The 13523-nt window shown below is 53.6% G+C and overlaps 1 long non-coding RNA gene and 2 pseudogenes across 2 annotated transcripts in view, besides 3 other annotated features; 2 read left to right on the top strand and 1 right to left on the bottom strand.

Moving 5' to 3' along the window:
- SMURF2P1-LRRC37BP1 (SMURF2P1-LRRC37BP1 readthrough transcribed pseudogene) overlaps nt 1-4684 on the bottom strand; it is a 61002-nt pseudogene extending 56318 nt beyond the window's left edge. The window contains exon 1 of the transcript NR_015341.2: nt 4488-4684. The product of NR_015341.2 is annotated as an SMURF2P1-LRRC37BP1 readthrough transcribed pseudogene (transcript). The remainder of the gene's footprint in view (nt 1-4487) is intronic.
- LOC101927093 (uncharacterized) lies at nt 4645-7678 on the top strand. Its single transcript, XR_243789.5, has 3 exons — nt 4645-5143; nt 7164-7213; nt 7372-7678. It is a non-coding gene; the product is annotated as an uncharacterized LOC101927093 (long non-coding RNA).
- Nucleotides 9005-9682: an enhancer, noted in NCBI's record as "H3K4me1 hESC enhancer chr17:28898485-28899162 (GRCh37/hg19 assembly coordinates)". NCBI's record gives its function as "activates a minimal SCP1, AML or CMV promoter by ChIP-STARR-seq in primed H9 embryonic stem cells {active_cell/tissue: H9 hESC(primed)}" and the evidence as "EXISTENCE:reporter gene assay evidence [ECO:0000049][PMID:30033119]".
- KRT17P3 (keratin 17 pseudogene 3) lies at nt 9334-13389 on the top strand (annotated as a pseudogene).
- Nucleotides 10361-11038: an enhancer, noted in NCBI's record as "H3K4me1 hESC enhancer chr17:28897129-28897806 (GRCh37/hg19 assembly coordinates)". NCBI's record gives its function as "activates a minimal SCP1, AML or CMV promoter by ChIP-STARR-seq in naive and primed H9 embryonic stem cells {active_cell/tissue: H9 hESC(naive and primed)}" and the evidence as "EXISTENCE:reporter gene assay evidence [ECO:0000049][PMID:30033119]".
- Nucleotides 11039-11716: an enhancer, noted in NCBI's record as "H3K4me1 hESC enhancer chr17:28896451-28897128 (GRCh37/hg19 assembly coordinates)". NCBI's record gives its function as "activates a minimal SCP1, AML or CMV promoter by ChIP-STARR-seq in naive H9 embryonic stem cells {active_cell/tissue: H9 hESC(naive)}" and the evidence as "EXISTENCE:reporter gene assay evidence [ECO:0000049][PMID:30033119]".

Genomic DNA, 13523 nt, shown 5'->3' with positions numbered 1-13523 from the left:
AAATGTAAATTAGTTTAGCCAGTGTAGAAAGCAGTTTGGAGATTTCTCAAAGATCTTCAAACAGAGCTACCATTCGACCCAGCAATCTCATTACTGGATACGTACCCAAAAGAAAACAAATCATTGTACCAAAAAGACATGTGTACTCATATGTTTATTCCAACACTAGTCACAATAGCAAAGACATGGAATGGACCTAAATACCCATCAATGATAGACTGGATAAAGAAAATACGGTACATATACACCATGAAATACTACACAGCCATAAAAAAGAAGGAAACCATGTCATTTGCAGCAAGATGGATGCAGCTGGAGGCCATTATCTTAAGCAAACTAAGGCAGGAACAGAAAACCCAATACTGTATGTTCTCACTTATAAATGGGAGCTAAACATAGAGTACACAGAGACACAAAGATGGGAACAACAGACAATGGGGACTCTGAAAGGGGTGAGGCAGGGTCGGGGACAAGGCCTGAAACGCTAACCATTGTATAGTATGCTCACTACTTGAGTGATGGGATCAACTGTACCCCAAACCTCGGCATCACACAATATACCAATGTAACAAACCTGCACATGTACCCCCTCAATCTCAAGTAAAATACATATATATGTACACACACACGGAGAGAGAGAGGGATTGAACATAACCTATCATGCTGTACTTTGGTGAGGTAAAAAGAAAAGTTATTTTAAGTAAAATGCACATGGCTACTGGTTTTCAAAAAGACTATGAACCATCTGACTTTCACCACTTTTTTTTGGCTTCCTAATTCTGAGAGAACAAGCCTATGAGGCATCATAGACAAACAGGTCTAGACACCATATTTTGTGAAGAGTAAATAAAGCAGACACATATTTATATTTCTAATTTTACACAGATTTAACAATGAATAAAAATTACTCAAGGCAAAATGAGTTTTGGGTCTCATCAAATGTAAAATGTTTTGAAAACTAATCCAAAATATTCACACACACACAATCACGCCAGCAGGAAATACTATTCTTATGATCAAGCTTGGAAACATCTTATTTTCCATCTCTTCCCTGCAATCTCATTATGACTAGGTTACATTATAAAAGGGCACTAATGAACATGTGAATTGCCTTTGCATATCCACTCTGGCAGCTGCCTCAGTCCATTTCTGTCAGGTGGGGGACAGCACAGCATCAGTGGAGTCCTTCTTGAATGACTGCTCTTTTTAACTGTTTTCTTCAATTTCCTGTTACCATTCCTATTTCCTTTATGCTAAACCTCCTGCAGGCAGCCACCTCCCTCTAGCTTTTCACTCTTTCCAGTGTTCTTGGCAGCATGGCTGACGGGCTGGGGAGGCTGTAACCAAGGGGCCTTCCTTCATGGTATGGTCCAGCCTCGGAACCGGGCAGAGGCAGAATGGACAGGGTAGCAGGAAGAACAAACAGGGGTCTGAGGCGAGTTTATACTTTGGGAGCCCCTATTACTGGTCAGTAACATGACAGGTTTTCTTTTCTTTTCTTTTTTTCAGACAGGGTCTCCCTCTGTCACCCAGGCTGGAGTGGAGTGGTGCTATCACAGCTCACTGCAGACTTAAACTCCTGGGCTCAAGCAATCCTCCTGCCTCAGTGCTGGGATTCTTTTCCTTTTTTTGACATAAAGTGAAAAGAAGGTAATGGCAGCGGCAGATACAAGATATATATATATAATCTGGGTAGATTCTGGTTTTAAGACATATGACTGCTGATATGACAGAGACTCCCAGCCCTGCTAATTTACTATCTGGGCTAGGTCTAGGCTGCAGCTGGGTTTTCCCTGCCAGCTACTCGGGAAGCTGAGGCAGGAGAATCGCTTGAACCTAGGAGGTGGAGGTTGCAGTGAGCTGAGAGCGAGCCATTGGACTCCAGCCTGGGCAACAAGAGCAAGACTCCATCTCAAAAAAAAAAAAGCAACTTCCTTAATTTGATGAAATCTGATAAAGTCTAATACTAGCCAATAACAAATAACATAACTAACAGAGAATTATGGGAAGCTTTTTCCCCCAGTGCAAGAACAGACGAGGATGCCTGCTATCACTCTTTAATCAGCATTGTAGTGGAGAAACAATACAGTAGGAAATAAAAAGGCATTAGGATTAATTTTTAAACAAAAAAAATTGTCATTATGTGTATATGACACTATTACATGCCTAGACAATCCTTGGAAACCCCAAAACTGTTTCAATTAATAACTTACTGGATACATTATTGTTATCAACCAGATTACTATATACTAGTATGAAACCAATAGAAAATAATGATCAAACTAGAGAACAAGTATCTATGACAAAAATGAGCCAATAAAGGATCAATTTGCAGATTTAAGATAAATCCTTCAAATAAATATAAAAAAAGGACCCTACAAAAACACGCACAAAATGAGCAAAGCATATGAAGAAAAGTAAGGCCCAGACGCCAATAAACATTTGCTAAACTCTACCTCACATGAAACCCGCCACTGCAAGTTCCAGGTGAGAGGATCCCTGCAGAAACACTGCAGGGCAGGATCCCAGGAGGCAGGACCACCAGGGAAGTGATGGAGCCCCTGCAGTGGGGAGGGTCTCAGGCCCAAGAGGGCCAGGTGGCTCCAGACCTCCTACTCCAGCTTCCCCTTACTCCCCACACCAGGCACAGCCCCACGTGAGTGCCCCGATGCAGGGAGGATTCTGACTGGCCATGTCTTCTCTGCCACTGTGCAGCCTGCTGAATGGCAGCCTCCTTGCCCATTACATCATTCCAGGCTTCGCTTTCATGGGTCACCTTCTCCCTCCCAACACAATGCCAGAATCCACCCCAGGAGGATAGGGACCGGGAACCAAACTGTGGCACCATGAGTGGAGACCCTGGAGGCAGACATGGGTGTAGGCACAGAGTGGAAACATGCTAGGCCTGGCCAGTGGGTGACAAGCACAGAGGATGGGGACATTCAAGGGCAGACACGGGCTGCAGGCACAGGAGAGAAGACCTGGGCTACAATCACAGGGGATCCAGACAAAAAGGGAGCTCGCTGGCTACAGCTGCATGGCAGAGAGGCACACCAGGGACAGACACGGGTAAAGGTGCAGGATAGAGGAGTAGGTGAAGGTTGGCGTGGGCAGGGGGCACAGAGATAAAGATACCCGAAGGTAGATGTGGCTGTAGGCTGAAGGGTGGAGTCACAAGAGTCCTAATGTGGGCTGCATGGACAAGGGCTGGAGACACAGGAAGACAGGCATGGGAAGCAGGCACACTCAATGACACGCCTCTGCTGCAGTAACAACAGACGGAGATACTCAACGAAATAGACTGGCTGCACGTACAAACACTGGGGATAGGAGTTTTGGGCATAGTCTCCCGGGAGAAATGATCCAGAAAAAGGACAGAAATGGGCTGAAGGCACAGGGGAAGGAGACACACGAGTGCAGACATGGCCCAAAAAGCATGGATGAAAACACTGACTGTGGACACGGATTAGGGGGACAGAGAATGTAGCAAACATAAGCTGGCATGGGCAGAAGCTCAGGGGACAGACGGACAAAAACATCAGAATGGGCTGCAAACACAGGGATTGAGGCACTGGAGGACTGCTACTGCCTGAAGGCTAAGGAGATGGCAACATTCAAGGCAAGCAATGTGCTGCAAGCACACAGGATGGAGACTCACACGGCTGGCACGGGCTGCAGGACCAAGAAATGGAGACTTCTGACAGGGGGCATAAAGTGCAGGCAGAGGACAGACCAGGTGACAATACACAAGGGCAGACGTGGGCTTCAGTCATTACGGGATGGTGATACTGGAGAGAAGATACAGGCTTCAGGCACAAGGATGGAGACACACGCGTGGCTGACACTAAGTACGTAAGTATTTAAGTACGTAAGTACGTAAGTACATAACTACATGTACATAAGTACATGAAAAACCCACCACAATCCAAAAATGATGGCTATGAATATGTGAATTAAGCCAGGTAACACGATACAAAATCAATCTATAAAATCAATTAGCTTCTTATTTACCAGCAAGAAAGAAATGTGAAATATAATTAAGGTACAATGACCAGACTAAGAAACAACTATCTGCACTACAAATGACCCCATAAAGGATTAATTTATAGAATACCTTTTTAAATTCTTCAAATCAACGTAAGAATACAAATGACCCAACAGAAAAGCCAGCACTGAAAATGAAGACAAAGACGCAAAGGCCAATAAATATTCACAAAACGTCACTTCACTAACATTTCCAGTTCCAGATGACAGGAGGCCCTCAGGGACTCAGGAGGCAGGAGCACGGGGAGGTGACAGCGCCAGCAGCAGGAGGGCAGGCCTCTGCCTTGGCACGAGCGGGGCCACAGCTCCTGGCGGGCTGCGGGGGCCGGGAAGCCCGAGCAGCCTGGCGCTCCTGGCCCCTGCACACGCTTCCCTCCCTCCACCCCGTTCCTCCCTCTCTCTGTGCCTTGGGCCCCGTGGGATGCGCTCACATCCAGACTCACCAGGCCCGAGACGTTGGGAGAATGGAGAAGCGCTTGCGAGCCAAAAGTCCTCCAGGAGCACCTGAAGGAAGCTTCGCCTGCACCTGGGACACCCTTCCCTGATGCTGGCCTCAAGGCAGGCGCGCCGCACACGCTTCCGGTCCATGACGACCACAGCTCAGAAGAGCACGCGAACCCAGCCTCCACAAAGAGAAAATGGCGGAATGGGCCTTCGCCTCCCTTTTATAACGGCTGTACTCAACCGCTGTATCTTGGAAGCTTTGTTTTGATTGGGTGAGAAGGAACTTTTTTCGACAACTCTTATTGGATAATAGTCTCCTGCTCTGACTGGATAATCTTAACTAATCAGAGTTGGAGACTTATCCAATCTGTGTTGTAGTACAGAGTCTGCTCTCATCCTATCAGAAAGAGGCTTCCAGGGTATGTCATTTGAATACAGACATTATAAAAGGGAGGCAAAGATCTGCACCTGCCGTGGAGGTTGGGCTCATGTGCTCCTCTGCATTGGAGTTAGCCAAGGAGCGTGTGCAGAACACTTGCCTCATAGGCCAGCCGTAGAGAAGGATGTCCCAGGTGCAGGCGAAGTTTTGTTCATGTGTTCCTGGAGGATTTTTCCCGTGGCAAGCGCTTCTCCATCCTCCAGCATCTCAGGCCTGGTGAGTCTGGATGTGACCGCTTCCTATGGGGACCCCAGGCACAGAAAGATGCAAAGGAGGGTGGATGGAAGGGGAACATGGGCAGGGCCCAGAGAGCATCAGATTGTCCGTTTCACCAGGCACCCCTGCTCCGGTGCAAGGGAGAGGCCGGCCAGGCCCCTACTCAGTGCCCCTCCTGGGCTCTGGCCCTGGCACCTAGACCCATCCCACCATTCTCCGCAGCTCCACTGCCCCGCAGGCAGGAGCTGCCGGCGTGGAACCTGCGGGCTGCAGTGAGCAGTGGAGGCAGTAGCCGCTGCTCCCTGGATTACCGGGATGTTTTTCTTTGGCTTTTTTCTTTTTCTATTTTATTTTAGATTCAGAAGGTACACGTGCTTGTTTGTTATATGTATATCACATGCACAATGGGGGGGTTGAGCTTCTAGCATACCCATCACCCAAATATTGGAGGTTGTACCCAGTAGGTACGTTTTCAACTTTCCCCCCCAAATTTTGAGTCCCCAGAGTGTATTCTCTCCATCTTCATGTCCATGTGTACCCATTGTTCTCACTTAATACATGAGAACATGCAATATTTGGCTGTTTCTGCATTAATTCGCTTAGGATAATGACCTTCAGCTGCATCTGTGTTGCTGCAAAGGACTTGATTTTGTTCTTTTTTATGACTGCCTAGTACTTTGTGGTGTATATGTACCACATTTTCTTTATTTAATGAACCGCTGGTGGATACTTACCTTGGTTCCATGACCTTGCTGTTGTAAGTTATGCTGCGATAAACATGGGAGTGCAGTGCCTTTTTATATAATGATTTCTTTCCCTTTGGGTAGATACCCAGTAGTGGGATTGCTGGGTCGAAAGGTAGTTGTACTTTTAGTTCTTTGAGATACCTCCCTACTTTTTCCATAGAAGTTGAACTAATTGACACCTACCGCCGCTTGCTGGGGGTTGAGGACGCCCAGTGAGTGTGCACCCGGGTACCTGCTGGGGCGGCCTGGGGACCCGCTTCACCCAGGGAGAAGTTGGTGTCTGAGCACCAGCGAAGTTCAGGAGGTGTGAATGTGGGAACCTGTGGGGGTTTGCAGGAGGTGAAACTGACCATGCAGGCTGGAGTCTGACTGAGGAGCCTTGAATGCCAAGTTAAAGCGTCTGGACTAGATCACGTAGGCAATGGGGAGCCATGGAGGGATTTGGAGCTGAAGAGGGGAATGAACATCAAGATATTTTAGAACATTCACTCTGGCTGCAGAGGGAGAAATGGATCAGAGGGGTCAGGGTGGGGCCAGAGAGATGCGTCAGGGGGCTGGAGTAGGGAGTCTGGCCAGAGAAGTCCTGCGGGGTGGAGGGGGGGTGGGGCAGCAGGGGAAGGAAGGTGGTGCACGCAGAAGAGAGGTTATAGCTCAAAACAGCAGGACTGGATGCCTGGATCTCAGGGTAAGCGTGGCTCACAGTCAGGACTCAGTAAGTGTCGGGTGAACACATATGAAGGAGTGGGCATTGATGGCCCTGGGTTTCTGGTTCCGACGACTGTGTGAGTGGTGATACCATCAGCCACAGGGTGAAGAGCAAGGTGGGTGGTGGTCGGGTTTGCAGGTGGGAAGGGTGATCAGGCCTTCAGCTGACAGTTTCCTGGAGTCTCCATGCTTAGTCACACGTTGCAGCTTTTTGCTCCCCGAAAATGGTGAAGTCCATCTATAGTCTAACGACAGTCTCTCCTGCTTTAATTGGGTCTATTTGTTGGGCCCTCTGGGATATGGAAAAACCACTTGCTCAGCTTCTCCTTGTAAATTCCTGGTGAGTGCCTCCAGGCCTACTGCTGTGCTGTTTCTTTTTCTTCTTCCTGCTGCGCTGAACCCCTGCCCTTTCATTCTTGGGCCTGTGCTAATTTCTGTGCATTCCCAACTGTGATTTTTCACCAATTTGGGGGAACCTCCTCTGCCAGGTCCTGCTTCATGCCAGCAGCGCTTGCAGGAGCCTGGGCTGGCTGGCATCCCTGGGCTGATGGGTGCTCCTCTCCCTGCAGGCTGGCCACTCAGTATTCCTTGTCCCTGGCCTCGCAGCCCACCCGGGAAGGTAAGAAGTTGCCCTCTCCTGCTGTGTGGACCCCAAGGGAGGGGAGAGGCTGAGGGCCCTTCTGTGTGGGAGACTGGGGGGACCACAGACTCGGGGGCAGGTAGGGGGAAGAGCTCCTGCCTGACGTTCCCTGTGCCTCCCTCCTCCATCGCCTGCAGCCACAGTGACCAGCCACCAGGTGTGCCATCACGGAGGAAGTCCAGGTTGGAGAGGTGGTCTCCTTCTGTGAGCAGGTCCACCTCTCCCCCCACTGAGGCCCCTTTCTGCCTGTGACAGCCCCACCTCAAGGGCCATGGCACAGCCATCAGCTCCAGCTGCCAGCATGCTACTGCCATGCCCCGAGTGTCCATCTGGGCCCCGGTTCATGACCTGTTGTCTTTCTGTATCTACTTTCTGCAGCCCCTCACTGAGGAGGCCTCCTGGGTTTGTCCAGTGCCTGCTATTAAAGCTTTGCTCCAAGTTCAATGCCTCGTGTGATCTGGTCTGTTCATTGGTTTGGGGCAGTGTGGGCTGAGGGACTGGGGGAGGTGGATAGTTTATTGAGTGTTTGGGTATCAGCTTGTCACCTGCCAATCTATTCTGCCCACTCCATCCAGGCCGGGGGCTCCTGGAAAGACGTGAAGGGAGGAGGCGAAAGGATTAAGGGTGGAGGGATGGGACAGCCCCTTGTATTGGGAAAAGTTTCTAAGAATCAGCCCCGAGTCCCCGTCACCATGCCTTTTGGGGAGCACTCCCTGCCTCAGCCCAGGGCAGGTTCAAGAGCAGAAGGAGAGGGGCTCCGTGGGGAGGGGCTTCTGAAGGAGTGGTCCAGGGCATTGATGAGTGAGAGGGGGTGAGAGCGACGCAGGCAGCCTGGGAAACCAGACCGGCTCTGCCCAGCTCAGGGTGTGTGTGAGGCGGGGTGGCCGCTGTGCGTGTATGCATGGGGGGTGTCCTGTTTGCTTTGGTGGCTTGGCAGCCACTGGGCTGTTGAGGAATCTCTCTCGGCTGCTGGTGGGGCTATCTGGGCCTGTCTGGGAAGTGGAAGCCATCGGCAGTCTGAAACATGACCACCTTCCACCCAGCGGGCCTGGTGGGACCCTGGGACCCAGGGCCGGCCTTGGGGTGGTGGGCAGGGCAGGATGGGGCTGTGGGGTGGGGCACATGGCCCACCTGAGGAGCCACATCTTGGGGAGCCTGGAGTGGGGAGGGGACTGGCTGGGGTCTCTGTAAGAGCTTCTTCTTGGGCAATGTCCTTTAGGTTTCCTGTGGGCTGAGACCTGAGATAAATGCCCCTCACCTGACCCTGAGGTCTCTTGGGGTACAGAAGGGTGAGAGGAGTGGAAGGGGGCATCCTTGGTTTAGATCCTCTCTTAGCACAGCCCACCATTTCCCCATCCTATAGCTGAGCCCCTCTTTGCCCACCCCAGCCTGGAGTGTAAACCTGGGGAAAGGTTTACACGAGGAGACTGGGTTAGCAAGGGCTTCTAGGGATGGGGCAGGGACAGAAGCTGACTGGATGGAACTGTAGCCCCTAGAGTGCATTCCTGGGTGTCAGGCTCTGCAGAAGGGGCCAGTGTGGACACTGCACCCCTCTGGAGCCCCAGTTTCTTTATGTGCGATGTGGGTTGGTCTCCAAGGCTTGATGGCATTTCTGTGCTGTGAGGTGGGCCTGGTGGGTTTGGGCTCAGTTTCCAAGGCAGGATAGGCTCTTGGTCCCCTCTTTCTCTTCAGCACCCAGCCCCGGGCCAGCACCATAGGTGGAGCAGTGTTGGGTGAAAGACAGCAACTTCAAGGGGGTCACCTGACACTGCAACCCATTTCCCCACCAGACAGGGTTGAGGCAGGCTGGGCTGGGGTGGTGGCTGCCTGGGAAGGCCTGGGGACGGTGAAGTCCTGCCTTCTCCTCTTCTCTGTATTGGGTCATGGGAAAGCATAGCTGGAGGGCCCGCCCGAATCACAGGTGACAGGCCTGAGAGCAGTGGCACGCACATGCACACGCACGGCACCCAGCATGAGGATTTGGAGAAATGAGGCAAATTCCTGATGATGGGTGGGGAGGGGGTCCCCAGCCACCTGGGAGCTAGCAGGTGGCCCATGGTGATGAAAGCCCAGGGAAGCGTGTGAACCCCCACAGCCCTACACAACTTGGGGCCCCTCTCCTCCCCAGCCCTTCTCCTGTGTGCCTGCCTCCTGCCGCCGCCACCATGACCACCACCATCCACCAGTTCACCTCCTCCAGCTCCATCAAGGGCTCCTCCGGCCTGGGAGTGGCTCATCCCGCACCTCCTGCCGGCTGTCTGGCGGCCTGGGTGCCGGCTCCTGCAGGCTGGGATCTGCTGGTGGCCTGGGCAGTGCCCTCCGGGGTAGCAGCTATTCCAGCTGCTACTGCTTTGGCTCTGGCGGTGGCTATGGCAGCAGCTTTGGGGGCGTTGATGGGCTGCTGGCCGGAGGTGAGAAGGCCACCATGCAGAACCTCAATGACCGCCTGGCCTCCTACCTGGACAAGATGCGCGCCCTGGAGGAGGCCAACACTGAGCTGGAGGTGAAGATCCGTGACTGGTACCAGAGGCAGGCCCCGGGGCCCGCCCGTGACTACAGCCAGTACTACAGGACAATCGAGGAGCTGCAGAACAAGGTAGGGTCTGCTGGTGGGAGGGGTCTCCGGGGGGCATGACTTCTTCCCCCCAACTCCTGCCCTGGCCAAAGGCATGGAGTCCAGCCATAGGGTCTCAGGGAGCCAAGGGTGGTTTGGCTGTGGCTTAGGTTCTGGAAACCTGCCTTGGGGCCCCTGTGTGGCCCACATGCCCCTTTTCTGGGGGCAGCAGGCTGAGTCAGGAACAAACAGGCCTCGTGGAGCCCCTTGGAGCCTCAGTTTCTCCCTGGTGGAGCTCTTCCACCTGGAGAGGTTGTAGGATGAGGCGGGAGGATGCAGATGGAGGGCTGGGCCCGTGGGCCGCTGGATGCATGGTGTCTTGCTCCTTTGGAGCAGGGGTCAGCAGGAGGGGGTTTTGGGAGATGTGGAGTGGGGGTGTCTGAGTGAGCTCCCAATAGCACCTGCTGCGGGGGGAGGCAGAAAGGAGGGGGCAGGACCTCAGGGTGGGGAAGGCCTCTGATGTGCCTTATTTGGGGATTTTTCTGGCTTCTCCTTTCCTCCTGCTGTCCCTTAAAACCGCAGGGGGCGGGGCTGCTGGCTGGCGCCCAGGGTTAGGGATTAGGAGGGGTCCTGACTTGTGATTTGGAACCACTCTTTGGTGAGGGCTCCTTTAGCCTCCTTTTGGGGGAGCCTGTCAGGGGTACCCCCTAGATGACTGTAAAGCGAAGGGGTTGCCCACATCCCCTCCCTTGTTCTAGAATTCTGGGACAGCTTCTGCCCTGGGGACATTTTCCCTTTCTTTTCTGGTTGCCTCATACTCCCAGCCAGCTAGCTGTCTCTTCTCCTTTAAGGCTGAGCCTGGCATCGGGGTCTGGTGGGGTACTGAGTAGCAGGGGAAGAAGAGGCACCTTTCAGCCCTTCAGACTCCTGCTTGCCCCTCCTCTGCCAATAATACAGCACGGGGCAAGGGAGGGGCTGGGTGGCAGGGGAGGTGCTGGGCAGGAAGAGAGGCCCCCAGGCAGGAAGATCTGTTCAGAACCCTGGTGTGGGCTCAGCCACCCCCATCCAGTGACCTGACAACTCTCCCATCTCCTCAGATCCTCACAGCCACCTTGAACAATGCCAACATCCTGCTACAGATTGACAATGCCCATCTGGCTGCTGCTGACTTCTGCACCAAGTGAGTCCTAGCTGTGGGCTTGGGCAGCCTGGGCCAGCTGGGGGAGGATCTCAGGGTACCTACCCCTCCTGACCCCAGGACTCCTTGGTTGCTTGTGGCAAGGCCCAGGAGCTCAGGGTGGGGCAGTCCCAGGAGCCCCACCCCTTAGTCCAGGATGCAGTGAAGGCAGCCAGTTCTGAAGGTTGCTGGGCTCAGGCAGGGAATAGAAGAGAGGGAGGGGAGGCGGGAGGCAGAGAGAAGTAAGGAAGCTGGTGGGCGTGGGATCTGGCCCTGTGATGGTCCCGGGGCCCCGGGGCTGGAATTCATTTCCACTCGACCCTCTCATCAGCCCTTCCAACCCCTTAGAGTCCTGGCAAAATGAAGGCAGGGGAGCAGCCAGGACCTGGACCTGCAGGTCCGAGCAGCCTGGGCTGAAGTCCCTGATTCCCACGGCAGGTTTGAGACAGAGCAGGCCCTGCGCCTGAGTGTGGAGGCCGCCATCAATGGCCTGCGCAGGGTGCTGGATGGGCTGACCTTGGCCAGAGCCGACCTGGAGATGCAGATTGAGAACCTCAAGGAGGAGCTGGCCTACCTGAAGAAGAACCACGAGGAGGTGAGGTGGCTGGGGCAGAAGGTCAAAGATGCTGAGGAGTGGGTGGCAGAGCCCTGGGGCCGGGCCATGGCTGAGGCCATGGGAGAGAGCAGAGCAGAGCAGGCGCACTGGGATTAGTCACCTTAGAGGGCTTCCCTGTCTGCAGAGCCCTGATCCTTGGGGTCTAGCGTGCAGGGCAGACTCCTCTTTGTACCACACTGCTTCTCAGTACCCAAGGAACCTCCCAGGGGCCCGCAGAGGCTCCCTCTACCTGCCCTGGCCTCCCTCATGAGGGCGGGGGATAAGTAAAGAAGTCTCCTTCTTGTCCCATTTCAAACTCTCAAAGCTGAACATCTACATAGAAGCTTGGAAATTAGAGGGGAAATGTTTGGGGCATAGGCCTAATAATTAGATTTTATTTTGGAGAGCCCTTGGTCTAATGGGGGAGATAGAGTCTGATGGTGGAGGCAATACTGAGCAGATGAATAAAAATCATTTAGAGGGTCAGACAGAGCAGAGGGAGAACAAAGGAGGGGTCCTTGTGGGGAGTGGGGTCCCCTCGTAGGGGAAGGCTTGGGAGTGAGAGGTCAGGATGGGTCCAGATGCGTACATCCACATCCCCTTTTTCCATAGGAGATAAACGCCCTGCGAGGCCAGGTGGGCGGTGAGATCAATGTGGAGATGGACGCTGCCCCAGGCATGGACCTGAGCCGCATCCTGAACGAGATGCATGAGTAGTACGAGAAGATGGCAGAGAAGAACCGCAAGGATGCCAAGGATTGGTTCTTCAGCAAGGTGGGGGCTGCTGCAGGCCAGAGGTCTCTCTTCGGGGCTGGGGCTCAGGGGCCTTAGCACTGACAGTAAGGCCACAGCCAGGTGTCTTGGAGGTGCCCACTCCTCAGCAAGCTGCGTGGACCACAGGGTCACACGCTGCATCAACAGACCTGGAGCTGAGCTCAAGCTGGGATCTGGGGGGTGGGTGGGGAGGTAGGGAGCCCCCACAGAATAAAGGCAGAGGGTAAAGACCTTGGGAGTCGCCACCTCTCTCTCAAGAAGTCAGGAACTAGCAGCAAGAGCCAGGCTACATGTTCTGGCTGGTTCTCAAGTTTCCGGTCTGTGCCTCCCACACGCAGGGATTAACCATAGAAAGCTAACATTTCAAATTTCTGGGCTTTGGGATGTGGGAAGCTGGTGAGAAGGCACCACTCTCTCCATAGTTAGATTTGGGAGGAGGCCTGACTTGGGAGAGGGATCCAGGCTCACACCACCCTGTCCTGTGTCCTGTCTGCAGACAGAGGAACTGAAACGCGAGGTGGCTACCAACAGCGAACTGGTCCAGAGCGGCAAGAGCAAGATTTCGGAGCTCTGGCGCACCATGCAGGCCTTGGAGATCGAGCTGCAGTCCCAGCTCAGCATGGTAGGAACAGCCCTGTGCATGGGGGTGGGCCCCGAAGAGGACACTGACAACCCTCACTGACCCCTGGTCTTCCTGCCGTCCTACAGAAAGCATCCCTGGAGGGCAACCTGGCGGAGACAGAGAGCCGCTACTGCATGCAGCTGTCCCAGATCCAGGGGCTGATCGGCAGTGTGGAGGAGCAGCTGGCCCAGCTTCGCTGCGAGACGGAGCAGCAGAACCAGCAGTACAAGATCCTGCTGGACGTGAAGACGCGGCTGGAGCAGGAGATCGCCACCTACCACCGCCTGCTAGAGGGCGAGGATGCCCAGTGAGTGAGGGAGCCTGGGGTCAGGGCTGCGGACCTCTTGGCAGGGGTGGGGCTCTCAGACTCACATCTAATTTCCTCTCTGTTTTTATTTTTTTTCTTTCAGCCTGACTCAGTACAAGAAAGAACATAAGCATCTTCGTGGCTGAGGCCCTGGGGATTGGGTGCATGGGACAGGCAGCCCACCTGCACATTGCTGGGGCAGGGTCCTCAGGAGCTCCAGGAGGTGATGGCTGTCCCTCAGCAGGGGTGGGAGAAGTGAC

This window comes from Homo sapiens, chromosome 17 (assembly GCF_000001405.40).
Source record: "Homo sapiens chromosome 17, GRCh38.p14 Primary Assembly".
In the NCBI taxonomy this organism is placed as follows: Eukaryota; Metazoa; Chordata; class Mammalia; order Primates; family Hominidae; genus Homo; species Homo sapiens.
The sequence above is the reverse complement of the archived record's forward strand: the minus strand, read 5'-3'. Positions and strand labels throughout refer to the sequence as shown.